We start from the raw sequence: 16,953 nt of genomic DNA, 5'->3' as shown, positions 1-16,953 counted from the left end.
TGGCAGAGGCTCACCCACCCTCAAGCCTGGACCAGTGGCCCAAAGCAAGAACATGCATTCCTGTTTTCCTGCTCGAATGTTGCCTTTTCCAAAACCATCCTGACCCCCACCATGCCCCCATCCTGTACCCATAGGAACCCCAGGCTTCACTGGAAGCAGAGCAGCAAAGAAGGAGAGAAGAGAAGAAGCAGCTTAACATCAGTGAGAAGCAGCTTGACTTCAGAGGGACGGCTTGATGGTGGAATCTCAGAGAGAGTTCAGCTGGGGACGGCCAGACTCCAGGAGAAGATCACATTCCCACTCCATTCCCTTTCCAGCTCTCCATCCCACTGACAGCCACTTTCATCAGCAATAAAATCTCCTGAATTTACCATCTTCAACTCATTTGTGTGACCCAATTCTTCCTGGACACCGAACAAGAGCTCGAGATACAGAGGGTTGTCACACTGAGCTGTTAAACACCTAAGCTGTCCACGGATGGCAAAGCTAAAAGAGCACACTGTAACACACACCCTCTGGGGGTCCAGGGGTCAAGGGTACCCTCCAGATGCTGCTGCAGGGCTGCACAGAGTTCTGCTCTTGCTGGCACCCAGAAGCATTCATCCCGGCCCCTGCGCCCGGTCACATGTGTGGTCCCCTTCCCGTGAGGGGTTGGGAGCTGTGGGATAAGTAAACAAGCCACCCACGTCACAAGTCCCACAAAGGGGTCAGGGGAAATTTCCTGTTTCAGTAGGAAGTTTGTGTGAAGGTGGAAGATGTTGAAGTCTGGTCTGCCTTGTTGGGCTCAAGCTTCAAAGTCAAGAGGTAGAAATCATTTACTCAATTGTGACCTTGATGATAAACCATCCTTGACTCATCTTCTGTCTTAAAGCCTATGGAGGCATTCAATAAATGACTACAAGGTGGATGAAAAAATTGTTCAAGATAGTGTAGAATGCCAGAGACGCAGTCAAATGGAGAGAGAAGTGATAGGAACCAGTTTTTATTAGGTCAATGGAGGTGTGACTTAGGGCCTGCTGTAGATAGAGGAGCTGTCCTGGTTGGGGGAGTGAGACAGGAAGACAGGAAAGGAGTTTGTTCCTCTACAGGAAATGAGCTCCTTTTATCCTCTGATGTATCCCGTCTTTTTATTGTCTTTTGGTTTTCCTTTTCTTCTCTCTGTTTGTCTCTCCCATAAAAATTGCTGTCTGTATTTGGCATCGGTTCAGTTCTTTAAAATGCGACCACCTGTGAGTGTGAGAGAGCATATGCTTTTAATCCCCTCATAAGCTGTATTTAGAGTCAGTACAGTTCTGCAAGAGTGGAATCTGCCCAAGAAAACATCGAACAACTTGTGGAATATGATTAAACTTTGATGAACCCAATCATTTCACCTAAAAAGTGACTTTTCTCACAGACAATTCATAACCGGCTAATTTGATATTTGAAGTATGTCCTCAACCTGGTGATTTGCTTCTTTAACTGAAGGCTACTGTCCTCATGAGTGCCCTTTAACCCACCAGCTTATCATTGTTAAAACAAAATTTTTTTTTGAGGCAGGGTCTTGCTCTGTTGCTCGGGCTTGAGTGCAGTGGCACTGTCACGGCTCACTGCAGCCTTGACCTCCTGGGCTCAAGCGATCCTCCTGCCTTAGCTTCCTGAGTAGCTGGGACTCCTGGTACCCTGGGTAATTTTAAAATTCTTTGTAGAGACATAATTCTCACTATGTTGCCCAGGCTGGTCTCAAACTCCTGGCTTTGAGCTATTCCCCCAACCTCAGCCACCCAAAGTGCTGGGATGTTAAAACATTTTTAAGCCAGAAAGGGAAAACAAAACATGAGTTCTTTGTGTCTAATAAAAAAAGAAATTCTGCCTGTATGCATGCATGAAGGCTTTGAACCAGGACCATTAAAAAGTACTTCTTAGGATAGAAAATGAAGTGTTAACAAAGTTCCTGACATTTATAGATGCAAAACAGTGACTATAATTTTAGATTTTATATCTTCAAACACAATTTACAAAGAGATATTCACTATGACCTAGATGTTCTTTCCCTGGGCTACAAAGCATTGCAGAGAGGCTCAGGTGGTGACTACCTATGATCTATGTTATTGTATGCTCTTGTTTACGCTCTATGTTCTTCCATAAACTTACAAGTAATGTACAATGAAGGTCATTCTTGATAGATATTTACAATTCATTATAGAAAAATTTGACAAAATATTTTTGTTCCAGAATGTTAAAAGGAACTGTTTGTAGATGCAAATCCCCATAAACATGCTCCTTTGTTCATGTACAATTTCATTTTAAATGGTTTCTTTTCCCATTTTCCTGATTCTTCTTCCCCCGTTGGCCAGACCAACCTGTTATTTATAAAAGCCTAGTAAGTGCTGGGTAACAGCAGCTTCTGAACAACCAAAGAGAAAGAGGAGGGACTGCTAGGAACTAAGTGACTTTTCAGGCTTGTCTTCTGTTCAGGAAAGCTGTCATTATTTTTCTCTGAGAATTTGAAATTAATGTGCCAAGCAATGAAAGCATCCCAGCACCTTTATTTCTATATTTCTGACTTCTTTCTGATGATCATTAGTTTTACCAGAAACTTCTAATTTCCTTTAAATATGCAATTTTAACAAGGTTTGGTACATTCTTAAGTACCTCTATTCCATCTTCTAGTCAAATATTTTTTGACTAGAAATTTATAATGGAGTTTGATATAATTTTAATATTTGATGAATTTTTAATTTTTAATTTTTGAATAGATTATATATTACATAGTAAAATATTCAAAGGAAATAAAGGATAATATGAAAAGTAAACCTTTCCCCCATCCTTTACCCCTTGTTTTCCATTTCTAATTCTCCTTTCCAGAGATGACCATGATTATGAATTTTTTTTTTTTTTTTGACACAGGGTCTCAGCATGTCACCCAGGCTGGAGTGCGGTGGCATGATCATAGATCATTGCAGCCTTCAGCTCCCAGGCTCAAGCGATCCTCCTGCCTTAGTCTCCTGAGTAGCTGGGACTACAAGTGCATGCTACCATGTCTGGGTTTTTTTTTTTGAGACAGGGTCTTGCTATGTTGCTCAGGCTGGCCTCAAATTCCTGGCCTCTAATGATTCTCCCAACTTGGCCTCCCAAAGTGCTGAGATGATAGACATGAGTCACTGCAACCAGCCGAGTATGCATTTCTTATGTACCCTTTCAGAGAAGAACATATACATATAGCATCTACACTCATCCCTCATCTTTTACACAAATAGTAAAATATATACAATGTTCTGTGTTTTGTTTTCTTCATATATCTACACATCTAAGAAAATATTCCACATCAGTATATGTAGAAGTAGTGTTTTCTTATTTTCATAGCTGTACCTTATTCAACTGTATGGGGATACCAAAATTTATTCAACCAGTTCCCTATTGATAAATATTTAAGCCATTTTCAATATTTTACTGTGTTCCTCCATTCTGCAATGACTATCTCTGTCCATATGTTTTTGTGCACACATGTAAGACTTTCTATAGGATAAAATATTAGACTCAATTTCTGGGTTCAAGGAAATATACATTTCCATTTTGATAGGTATTGCCAAATTGCCCTCCAAAGATGTTCCCCCAATTAACACTCCCGACAACATATTTTGAAAATATAGATTTATTTTTAAAATGTACACTATCTTTAAAGAGAGGTAAACCTGCTCCATATTTGCCACTATGCCTTGCAATCAGTGACTAAATGAATCTACCAGACACCAAATATAAATAAGAGTGCATTAGAGTTACTATTGAAATTAGTCAGTGTAATGCACCTTCTCACCTTCCGCAGCTGATTAAATGTATACTTAATGTCCATGCCTCAACTTGCAATCTTGAGAGTGTTTAGTAGCTGTGCACAGAGCATCTGACAGCTATGCTTATTGACAGGAGAGAGCGTTCTGTGTGTTTTAGACAAATAAAGATCAATGTCATAAGACTGATGCTCTTTTGTTAGACAAGTATTTAAACTGTGATCTTATATCTCAAAATTCAGCACAGGATTAAACATGACGGTGAGTTCATCAGGTGTCTGCCATTCCTGCTTAATACTGTCTACACTTTTGATATCGGCTCATAATCAGATCATTTAGACTCAGCCTGAAACAATTTTGTCTGCTTTTAACATGTCAATAGAAAAAAAAAAGGTTTCAACTGCTGTATTTAGAATTAGGAATTTCAAAGTTATTATTATGATTATTAATGGAATAAATATTTTATAGTAAATTTCTTGCACAGTTATTTTTCAAATTTAAAAATTCTCAGTTTATACCATGAGGCTTTTTTCTCTTTGATTGTGTTATGTCCAAGCTCAGCATCTTCTCTGAATGCTGAAGTAAATTATTTATGTTTATTATTATTATTTTTTTGAGACAGAGTCTTGCTCTGTTGCCCAGGCTGGAGTACAGTGGTGTGATCTAGGCTTACTACAACCTCTGCCTCCCAGGTTCAAGCTATTCTCCTGGCTCAGCCTCTCGAGTAGCTGGGATTACAGATGGCCACCACCACACCCAGTTAACTTTTGTATTTTTCAGTACAGATGGGGTTTCACCATGTTGGCCAGGATGGTCTGGAACTCCTGACCTCAAGTGATCCACCTGCCTCAGCCTCCCAAAGTGCTGGGATTACAGGCATGAGCCACCATGCTCAGCCCCCAAAGTAAATTCTTATACCTTGCTTTGTCAATCTGGCTGAATGCTTTGACTTCTCTGAATATACTTCAGAGGTCCCCATCCCCAGCCACAGACTGGTAGCTGTCCATGGCCTGATAGGAACTGGGTAGCACAGCAGGAGGTGAGTGACCTGTGAGCAAGTGAAGCTTCATCTGTAGTTACAGCCACTGCCTATCACTAGTATTACCACCTGAGCTCCACCTCCTGTCAGATCAGCAATGGCATTAGATTCTCATCGGAGTGCAAACCCTATTGTGAACTGTGCATGCGAGGGATCTAGGTTTCCTGCTCCTTATGAGAATCTAATGCCTGAGGATCTTTCATTGTCTTCCATCACCCCCAGATGGGACCGTCTAGTTGCAGGGAAACAAGCTCAGGGCTTCCACTGGTTCTACATTATGGTGAATTGCATAATTATTTCATGATATATTACAATATAATAATAATAGAAATAAAGTGCACAATAAGTGTAATAAGCTTGAATCATCCTGAAACCATCGCTCCACCCCAATCCATGGCAAAACCACCTTCCTTTAAAGCAGTCCCTGGTGCCAAAAAGGCTGGGGACCGCTGATATAATTCTGCCATCTACATTAGCAGTAGTGTCTTCTTGATAGGATGTGACAGCTTGTAACATAAGAGCCTGATGGTGCAAATCAAGAATTTTTAAATACGTAAAGATGGTGACTCATAGGATATTCATTATGAAACCTTTACTCCATTAATAAAAATCTTGAACATTCCTAATTCTAAAGTCAGATGTTGAGGCCATTTAAATTTTTTATTGACATATCAAAAGCAGTCAGCAGTGGTCAGTGAAACATCCATGTTTCTGTGTCAAATAAAATAAATACCTCTAACAAAACAGAGCAGCAATGATCCATAATTACCATAAAAAAGCGTGATCACAGCTTTTTTCTTTTTCTATGCTTTACAGCCTATGTTGTTTCTTACTATTTCATCTTCAAGATTACCTTTTAATAAGTCTCTATCACTCCATAAACACTTGACCCATCCAAATCAAGTTGGACATATCCCAGCTTGATCTTACCTCAACGCACAGCAGCTTCCCTTTCAGAGTTTGCTATGTCAGGGAGTAGTGTCACCATGCACCCAGCAACACTTTTTTCTCCCTCCCTTGCCCCTCCTCCTGCACAATCCACTGGTCACCAACTACTATTGATCCTACCTCCCAAATATCTCTCAAAACTATCCACTTCTGTCCATCTCTACTGCTCCTTCCTCCTCTTACCTGGATGCAAATGCAAAGCCCAACTGGATCCTCCATGTTTACGCCTGTTCCTTCCAGGTCACTTTTCTATATAAAGGATATAAGAGTCAAATTTCCATTTCAGGCCAAAAGAAATTAACAGGTACTAGATACATCCTCTTACCTGTAAAACTGGAAGACTAGAAAAAAAAATATACAAAACAAGAGTTCACTTCTGCCAAAAGCCTCCTGGAACTGATAAACAACATCAGTAAAGTTTGAGGATACAAAAATCACTGTAGAATAATCAGTAGCATTTCTATACACCAATAAGATTCAAGCTGAGAGCCACATCAAGAATGCAATCCCATTTACAATAGCTACAAAAAAATCCCCCACAAGAACCTAGGAATACATCTAGCCACAGAGGTGAAAGATCTCTACAACTACAAACCACTGCTCAAAGAATCATAGATGGAACAAACAAATGGAAAAACATTCTGTGCTCATGCATTGGAAGAAACAATATCATTAAAATGATCTTACTGCCCAAAGCAACCTACAGATTTAATACTATTCCTATCAAACTACCAACGTCATTTTTTGCAGAACTAGAAAAAAAGCATTCTTAAATTCATATGGAATCAAAAAAGATTCCAAATGGCCAAAGCAATTCTAACCAAAAAGAACAGCTGGAGGCATCACATTCCCTGACTTCATATTATACTGTAAGGCTACAGTAACTAAAACAGCATGGTACTAGTACGAAAACAGACACATAGACCAATAGAACAGAATAGAGAACCCAGAAATAAAGTCACACACCTACAGCCATCTGATCTTTGACAAAGTCGACAAAAGCAATGTGAAAAGGACTTCCTATTCAATATTTGGTGCTGGAATAGCTGGCTGGCCATATGCAGAAGAATGAAATTGGCCCTCTAACTTTCACTATATACAAAAATTAATCTAAGATGGATTAAAGATTTAAATGTAAGACTTCAAACTATACGAGTCCTAAAAGAAACCTAGGAAACATCATTCCAGACAATGGCCTTGGGAAAGAATTTATGACTATGTTCTCAAAAGCAATTGCAACAAAAACAAAAACTGACAAGTGGGACCTAATTAAACTAAAGGGCTTCTGCACAGCAAAAGAAACTATCAATGGGGTAAACAGATAACCTACAGAAGGGGGGGATATATTCACAAACTATGCATCTGACAAAGGTCTGATATCCATAATCTTTAAAAAACTTAAACAATTAGGTTTGCTATGTCAGAAAGTAGTGTCAGCACAACCTGGCAGCACACGTCAGCACCTCTTTTTCCCTCCTCTGCCCCTCCTCCTGCACAATCCTTTAGTCACCAACTACTGTTGATCCTACCTCCCAAATGTCTCTAAAATCTATCCACTTCTGTCCATCTCTATTGCTCCTTCTTAGTCTTACCTGGATGCAAATGCATTAATTAAAAAAGGGAGTATTTGTCTTTTGCTTGTTCAATTATTTAAGTTTCTTAAAGATTCTGGATATTAGACCTTTGTCGGCTGCACAGTTTGTGAATTTTTTCTCCCATTCTGTAGGTTGTCTCTTTACTCTGTTAATAGTTTCTCAATGATGGACTGAATAAAGAAATTGTGGTACAGATACACCATGGAATACTATGCAGTCATAAAAAGAAATGAGATCATGCCGTTTGCAGGGACATGGATGGAGCTGGAAGACATTATCCTCAGCAAACTAATGCAGGAGCGGAAAACCAAACACCACATGTTCTCACTAATAAGTGGGAGCTGAACAATGAGAACACATGGACACAGAGAGGGGAACAACACACATTAGGGCCTTTTGGTGGGTCAGGGAAAGGAGAGCATTAGGAAAAATAGCTAATGCATGCTGGGCTTAATACTTAGGCGATAGGTTGAAAGGTGTAGCAAACCACCATAGCACATGTTTACCTATGTAACAAACCTGCACATCCTGCACATGGACCCAGAACTTAAAATAAAAATAAAATTAAATAAAACAAAAAACAACAACAACATACAGGCAAAAGACATGAACAAACACTTCTCAAAAGAAGACACACAAGCAGCCAACACACATATGAAAAAATGCTCACTACCACTAATTGTCAGAGAAATGATAATCAAAACCACAATGAGATACCATCTCACACTAGTCAGGGTGACTATTATAAAAAGTCAAAAAACAATGGACACTGGTGAGAAAAAGGAATGCTTATACACTGCTGACGGGAATGTTAATTAGTTCAGCAACTGTGGAAAGCAGTTTGAAGATTCCTCAAATAACTTAAAACAGAAGGCCGGGTGCGGTGGCTCATGCCTATAATCCCAGCACTTTGGGAGGCCAAGGCGGGTGGATCATGAGATCAGGAGTTCGAGACCAGCCTGGCCAACATGGTGAAACCCTGTCTCTACTAAAAATACAAAAATTTACCGGTCGTGGTGGTGTGCGCCTGTAATCCTAGGTACTCAAGAGGCTGAGGCAGGAGAATTGCCTGAACCCAGGAGGCAGAGGTCGCTGTGAGCGGATCACGCCATTGCACTCCAGGCTGGGTGACAGAGCAAGACCCTGTTGGAAAAAAAAAAAAAAGGAACTTAAAACAGAACTACTGGTTGACCCAGCAATCTCATTACTGGGTATACGTCTAAAAGAAAAGAAAATAAATCTTTCTATCAAAAAGAAACTTGGACTCGCATATTCATTACAGTACTATTCATGATAGCAAAGACATGGCGTCAATCTATGTGCTCATAATGGTAGACTGGATAAAGAAAATGTGGGATATGTATACCAGGAAATGCTACACAGCCATGAAAAGGAATAAAAAGGAATGAAATCACGTTTTTGTTTTTGTTTGTTTTTTGAGACAGAGTTTCACTCTGGAGTGCAGTTTGTGATCTCTGCTCACTTTAACTGCTGCCTCCCGGGTTCAAGTGATTCTCCTGCCTCAGCCTCCTGAGTAGCTGGGATTTCAGGCACCCACCACCACACCTGGCTAACTTTTTTGTATTTTTAGTAGAGACAGGGTTTCACCATGTTGGCCAGGCTGGTTTCGAACTCCTGACCTCAAGTGATCCACCCTCCTTGGCCTCCCAAAGTGCTAGCATTACAAGCGTCAACCACTGAGCCCAGCCTGAAATCATGTTCTTTGCAGCAACATGAATGCAGCTGGAGATCGTTATCCTAAGCAAATTAACACAGAAACAGAAAACCACATGTTCTCACTTATAAGTGAGAACTAAATATTGAGTACTCGTGGACATAAAGATGGCAACAATAGACACTGGGAACTACTAGAGGGGAGGGGGCAAGGGTTGAAAAATGACCTATTGGGTATATTCTCAGTACCTGGGTGATGAGATCATTTGTACTCCAAATCTCAGCATCATGCAATACATGCTGATAATGAACCTGCACATGTACTCACTGAATCTACAATAAATTGGAAAAAAAAGTTCACAAGATATTGGATATCAAGCCACTAGGTCATGAAGAGCAAGGATAACTGAAACAAGGAAACAAACCTGGTGAGTCCTATGATTGATTTAGGCTATCATGTGGACGGTTTCCAGGCCATGATGCAGGCAGAAGAAGCCACATGGAGTCTAGGAGTCTCTCTGAATTAAGGAAAAGGGAGCAGGGAGATCAAGGTAGTTACATTTCACATGGTGGAGTACCTGAAAGGAGAGAGCTGCAAAGAGAGAAAACTCGGGAAATCTGCTAGGTGTCCTCTGCAAGTATTTAGCTGAATACTGGTTAATGAATGTCAGTGAGGAAACTACTCACGCTTGATAAATAATCACTCAGAGGAATTAGTGGGAAATATACCCAAAGCTCAATCAGGTTCTACAATAATGCCCATTTTCTTAGCAGTCAGAGTGGGAAACCTCACAATTTATGGTTTATCAAGTAGGATACTCAGAAGGGTTTTGCCTCAGTAGGGAGGAAAATTGTCCCTGAACTTAATGCTCCACTGGTCCTATCTAACAATGCTTAAGAGCAAGATCAAAGAGAACCAAAGTATTTTGAAGTAATTTATCACATACCAGAAAAAAAAAAAAACAAAATGGACAGGAATACAAAAATATTCAGCAGCCAGCAGTGTAAGAATCACAATGTCTGGTTCATGAAAAAAAAAAAAGCAGAAAAGTACAATACAAAATAAGGATAAACATCAATTAATCAAAACTGACTCAGAATTGACACAGTTGAAAAAATTAATAGATAAGAAGGACATTAAAATAGTTATTATAACTGTATTTGTACGATCAAAAAGCTAGAGGAACGATAAAATGTGCTAAGTAGAGACATAGAAAATATTAAAAAAAGTAAGTCAGATTTTGAGAGACAAAGCCTACGATGTCAACGATGAAAAATCTCTGTGGTTAATAGCAGATTAGATGTTGCAGAAGAAAAAATCAGTTAGCTTCAAGACGTAGCAATAGAAATGATCCAAAATGAAACAAAAAGAAAACAGACTGAAAAAAAAGAAGAGCATCTGTAAGCTATGAAGCAACTTTTAAGAGACCTAATATATGCATAATTAGGGTAGGACAGAAAAATGGTTTGAAGAAATAATGGCTGAAATATTTCCAAAATTTATGAAATCTGAAACCAACAGATCTACAAAGCTTAAACAAATGCAAGACAAGAATCACGAAGAAAACTGCATCAAGACACGTCATAATCAAATCGTTTAAAATCAGCAATACAGAGAATATTGAAAACAGCCAGAGACAAAGGACACATTATATACAGCAGAACAAAAAAAAAGTAGCTTTCTCCTCAGAATTAAGGCAAGTGAGAAAGTTCTCAAACACAAAAGCTGTCAACTTGGATTCTTTATCAGGAAAAACATCATCTTTCAAAGACGAAGACAAAATAAAGTCTTAGACAAACAAAACTGAAAAAATTTATTGATAACACATCTGCACTATAAGAAACGTTAAAGAAAGTCCTTCAAGCAGAAGAAAATAATTCCAGATGGAAAATTATATCTACACAGAGTGACAAGGAGCCTAGGAAATGATAACTATGTGGATAATTTAAGAGTTTTTTCTTATTTAAATCTCTTGAAAAGATAATTAACTGCTTAAAGCAATAACAATGCATTGTAGAGTATATATTATTTGTACTATATATGAAATAAAATTTATGGCAAAAATAGCAGAAGGCTGGGAGGAGAAATGGAAGTATACTGTTGTAAGATCCTTGTACTATATATGAAATATAATAACATTTGGCAGGGTGCGGTGGCTCCCGCCTGTAATCCCAGCACTTCGGGAGGCTGAGGCAGGTGGATCGCCTGAGGTCGGGAGTTCGAGACCAGCCTGACCAACATGGAGAAACCCCGTCTCTACTAAAAAATATACAAAATTAGCCAGGCATGGTGGCATATGCCTGTAATCCCAGCTCCTCGGGAGGCTGAGGCAGGAGAATCACTTGAAACCGGGAGGCAGAGGTTGTGGTGAGCCGAGATCGTGCCATTGCACTCCAGCCTGGGCAACAAGAGCGAAACTCCGTCTCAAGAACAACAACAACAACAACAAAAAATATATATATATGGTATATATATACACCATATATATATATACACCATATATATATATATATATACACACACACACCATATATATATATATACACCATATATATATATATATATGGTAGTTTCTAATAAGGTAAAGATGTACAATATAAACCCTAAAACAATTACTAAAACAATGTCACACAGAGTTATAGCTAATAAGAAAACACAATGGTCAATGAAATCATTAAAAATACACTCAATCCAGGGATTTCTGATCCAGGTGAAATGGTGTACAAGTCCATCTCCAGTTAAATTGCACTTAACTCCCTGTTAAGTACAACTATAAACCCTGGAAATAATGTAAGAGGCAATCGAAGGAGAACTATACATGATGGGAAGAGGAAGGAGGACTCTGGGGGGAGTCTCTGGACTAGAGAAAAACAGCAGCATTGTGTCTTACGTTCTCCCCATCCAACACAAGAAAGGGACTTAGGCCTGGCATTTTCTGATTCCGGGCCTGTCCACTAAAGGGGGCTCAGATCAGCTCATTTCTTCCTTGGAGTGAACAAAAGCTCCGCCATTAATTTGTGCAGCAGCAATGGAAACAAACAAACTCTACCAGCAACGACAAACAAGTTCGGCAGCTCCCGCAAGGGAGACCGATTGAAGGCCCTGCTAAGAGTAAGTGTCTAGGTTAAGTACTCTCCTTCCCCACTGGGGCTAAGACACTCATCCCCAACCCAAGCACCAACAGGCACTGGGAAGGGAGACCCACTGCAGTAAGCCCCTGGCCCAGAAAGCACTGTAATTTCTTGCCAGGCTTGAGACTCCCATCCTCCACCCAGAGACACCAGGTGGCCAGGCAGCACTGACAAGGGGGATCCCCCAACTATAAAGACCTGGTCCAGGAAGTGTATTTGTCCCCTTGGGTCAGAGATTTCCTTTTTCCTCCTAGGAAGCACGAGACAGCCTGGCTTAGGGAAACTATACTACACCACTGCAAGCAGTACCAGCAGGGACTAGTGGGAGCCCCGGTGGCACCAGAGAAAGCAAGCAGCCAAAACAGCTCTGAAAATGAAGTTGTCACTAGAACCACACCCCACAACATTAGGTCAGAACCGCTGTGCTAAATCTAAATAGGCTGACTGCTGTCATCACAGATCTAAATAGGGCCCGGATCTCCTAATATCAAAGCCAAAACGTCCAGGATATAATAAAAAATCACCTGCACATCAAGAACCAAGATTTTAAAGCAGCCATCATAAAAATGACTCAACAAGGTATTATTAATTTTCATGAAAGGAATGAAAAGAATCGTAAATCTTAACAAAGACGTAAGTAATAAAAAAGAACCAAATTGAAATAACAGAAATTAAAAAGGCAATAAGAAACAAAAAACTTGCTAGGTGAGTCCCTCAACTGAACTTCTTACCTGAGTTTTGTCCATTCTTCTCCTTGCACACCTTACTGTAGTGTTAATGGCCCCGTTATTATCTCTTCAACTAGAATTTAATTCTCACAAGGCAGGTATCTTATCTGTTTTACCCACTGTTGTATTTCCAGTGTCTACCACCATGCCTGACAAATACTTCTTAAATAACTGAAGGAATTTTTAAAATACCCAACCCCAAAAAGGCAGAGAAAATGGAAAAACGGAAGAGGAAATATAACTTAATCATTTCTATAATTACATTAAATCACAATGGCCTAACCCCCAAATTCAAAGGCAGAAGTTGTCACAAGAAAATAAAATCAAGAGCCACTCTCTGCTGCCTGCAAGAAATGCAGTTTAATTGTAAAGACACAATTAGGTTAAAAGTATGGAAAATAATACATCATGCTAACACTAATCATAAGTAAGCTATAGTGGTTATATTAATATCACACAAAGCAGTTTTCAGAGCAAAGCATATTAGCAGCGATAAAGAAGGTCATTTCATAATGATAAAAGGGTCAATTCATTATAGAAAACAACCACTGTAAATGTTAATATACCTAAATAACAGAGTCCAAAATACAGGCAGCAGAAACTGGTAGAATTTCAAGGATAAATAGACCTAGAATAGAGTGTCCATAAATGGATTCACACATACATGTAAGTGAATTTTTGACAAAGTTGCAAAGGCAATTTTGTGGGAAAAGAATAGCTTTTTCAATAAATTGTACTGGAACAATTGGATAACCATATATGCAAAAATGAACCCTGATCCCCACCTTGCACCACATACAAATATGAACTCACAATGGATCATAGACTTAAATATAAAATATAAAACTATACAACTTCTAGAAGAAAACATAGGAAGAAAAATCTTTGTAATGTTTGATTGGGCAAAGATTTTTTACATACAGCACCAAAAACATGATTCATAGAAGAAAAAAGTCTGACAAATTAGATTTCATTATGACGAAGAACTGTGCTCTTTGAAAGACACTGTAAAAGGAAAGAAAAGACAGCCACCGACAGGGAGAAAATATTTACAAATCACATATCAGCTAAGGAACTTGTATTCAGAATATATAAAGAGATTTCCAAGGCTCACTTATAAGAAGACAAACAGCCAAAACCAAAATGGGCAAAAGATTTGAATACACATTTCTCTGAAGAATATATATGCATGGCAGATAAGCACATGAAAAAATGCTGAACATCATTAATCATAAAGGAAATGCAAATTGAACCCACAATGACTGATACGATTTGACTGTGTCTCCCCTCCGCCAAATCTCATCTTGAATTCTAGCTCCCATAATTCCCATGTGTTGTGGGAGCAACCTGGTGGGAAATAACTGAATCATGGGGGCAGTTTCCCCCATACTCTTCTTGTGGTAGTGAATAAGTCTCATGCGATCTGATGGTTTTATAAAGGGAATCCCGTTTTGCTTGATTCTCATTCTCTCTTGTCTGTCACTATGTAAGACGTGCCTTTTGCTTTCCGCCATGACTGTGAGGCCTCTTCAGCCACGTGGAACTGTGAGTCCATTAAACCTCTTTTTCTTTATAAATTACCCAGTCTGGGGTATGTCTTTATCAGCAGTGTGAAAACGGACAAATACAATGACATATCATTATACATTGGTTAGAACATCTAAAAAAAAAACAAACACCAACTTGTGATACCAATGTTGGCAAGGATGTAGGGCAACTGGAACTCTCATACCCTGCTGGAGGTAATGCACAAGGATGCAACTTCTTTGGAAAAGAGTCTGTCAGGTTCTCAAGGTAAAGATATACCTACAGTATGACCCAGTTTCTATACTCCTAGAACTCAAACCTATGTCTCCACAAAGACTTATACACAAACATTTATAGCAGCTTTATTTGTAACAACGCCCAACTGGAAACCATCCTGATGTCCATCAACAGGTGACTAGATAAACAAACTCTGGGATCTTCATAAAGTGGAATACCATTCAACAATCAAAAGGAATAAGTGATCAGTATTCACAACAGCATGGATGAATCTCAAAGTAACTATACTGGGTGAATGGAGCCAGACAAAAAAAATTTATATATATGCTTCTGTTTATATAACATTCTAGGGAACACAAAATAATCTACAGCAAAACAAAGCATATCAGTGCTTTCCTGGGGAGTGGGATTTGGGGAGGGGAGAGGCAAGAAAGAAGGACTACTGAGGGACACGAGGAATTTATCCGGGTGATGGAAATGTTCATTATGTTGATTACGGTGATGAGCATTTACAGAAATCAAACTTACCAAATTATACACTTTATGTGTTATTTATTGTATGTCACAATTTAAAAAAGAAAATAGTAATACAACTATTTCAAATGCTGTCATTTAACCCACAAAATATCAAGGATTTTTAAGGATGTGTCTTTGACTGCAATGCAATGATATATTCCTGAAAGTATAGGTGGATAAAATTCATCATGTTATGAAATATACAATCAAAGAGATCTCAGGGATTCTGTAATTTTTTTAGGTGAAGAAACTGGACTAGATGGGGGTAAACTGACTTGCCCCAGACCATATAGGAACTCCATGTGCCTAAACTAGCTCATGAAAATGAAAGCTTTGGTTTTCTGCCACCCATAAAGCTAAGTCACAGTGACATTTTAATAAATGGTCAATAATGTTGAGTCCCTGTAGTCTTAAAGTTTACTGCCTGATAGGAAATTCGTTGGCTAAAAAATTCAAACAGCCTTTCTAATTGTTGTTGAGTATAGCACAAAATAATCCACATATTCTATCTGACCATAAATGTCAGTGAGAATGTTTTGGTATATTCTATAGCCCATACTGATGGCTTTAAATGAAATGTATTTAATTTATTTAATATTTGCTTCTGCATAAATTAAAAAATGGCACAAATCACTCAGGATACTTTACTTTCCAAGCTCAGAAAAATGTCATATTATGCTGTTTTTGGTTTGTTTAAGATAAAACCACTTTAATTCTATCTGCTGCAGAGTGGTCTTAATAAATACACAAATCTATGATTTCATCAGTGCAAATGGCACCCTATAGAGTTTTACAGTGCTGAAGATCTTAGATGTATATTTATTAGAAAAGAAAATGTGCCATCAATTTATTAGAAGTATAATTGCTATAAATGATTTCAAATGCGACGCTTAAGTATCATTAACTCTGAAACTTTAATCTTCTTCAACTGGTAAACAGAAGTGTATTCTCATACCAATGTACATAACTAAGTTTGCTTTTTTCTTTTAAAAATTTTTTTATTTTTAATTTTTGTGGGTAAGTAGTAGGTGTATATAATTATGGGGTACATGAAATGTTTTGATACGGGCATGCAATGTGAAATAATCACATCATGGAGAATGGGGTATCCATCCCCTCAAGCATTTATCCTTTGAGTTACAAACAATCCAATTACATTCTTTTAGTTGTTTTAAAATGTACAATTAAATTATTATTGACTATAGTCACCGTGTTGTGCTATCAAGTAGTGGGTGTTATTCATTCTTTCTAATTTTTTTTTGTACCCGTTAACCATCAACCACCCACCCCGCTCCCATCCCCACTACCCTTCCCAGCCTTTGATAACCAGCCTTCTATTCTCTATGTCCATGAGTTCAATTGTTTTGACTTTAAGACCCCACAAATAAGTGAGAATGTATAATGTTTGTCTTTCTGTGTCTGGCTTATTTCACTTCACATAATGATCTCCAGTTCCATCCCTGTTGTTGCAAATGACAGGATCTCATTCTTTTTTTATGGCTGAATAGTACTCCATTGTGTATATGTACCACATTTTCTTTATCCATTCATAATAGCTAACATTTGGAAGCAACCTGAGTCTATCCACACTTCAAATTCAAACAGCCTTTCTAATTGTTGTTTCTATATGTCCATAAACAATTAGGTTGCTTCCAAATCTTGGTTATTGTGAACAGTGCTGCAACAAACATGGGAGCACAGGTATCTCTTTGATAGACTAATTTCCTTTCTTTGGGGTATATGCCCAACAATGAGATTGCTGGATCACATGGTAGCTCTATTTTTAGTTT

The 16,953-nt window shown here is 38.6% G+C and overlaps 1 long non-coding RNA gene across 1 annotated transcript; it reads right to left on the bottom strand.

Moving 5' to 3' along the window:
* Positions 1-966: 966 nt before the first annotated feature.
* Positions 967-14,640, bottom strand: LINC02629 (long intergenic non-protein coding RNA 2629). The gene is made up of 6 exons (NR_170279.1): positions 14,381-14,640; positions 9,449-9,615; positions 9,273-9,356; positions 8,358-8,492; positions 5,938-6,003; positions 967-1,227 (listed from the first exon to the last, which is right to left on the bottom strand). It is a non-coding gene; the product is annotated as a long intergenic non-protein coding RNA 2629 (long non-coding RNA).
* Between the last annotated feature and the right edge of the window lie 2,313 nt (positions 14,641-16,953).

This window comes from Homo sapiens, chromosome 10 (genome assembly GCF_000001405.40).
Source record: "Homo sapiens chromosome 10, GRCh38.p14 Primary Assembly".
Lineage (NCBI taxonomy): Eukaryota > Metazoa > Chordata > Mammalia > Primates > Hominidae > Homo > Homo sapiens.
The sequence above is the reverse complement of the archived record's forward strand: the minus strand, read 5'-3'. Positions and strand labels throughout refer to the sequence as shown.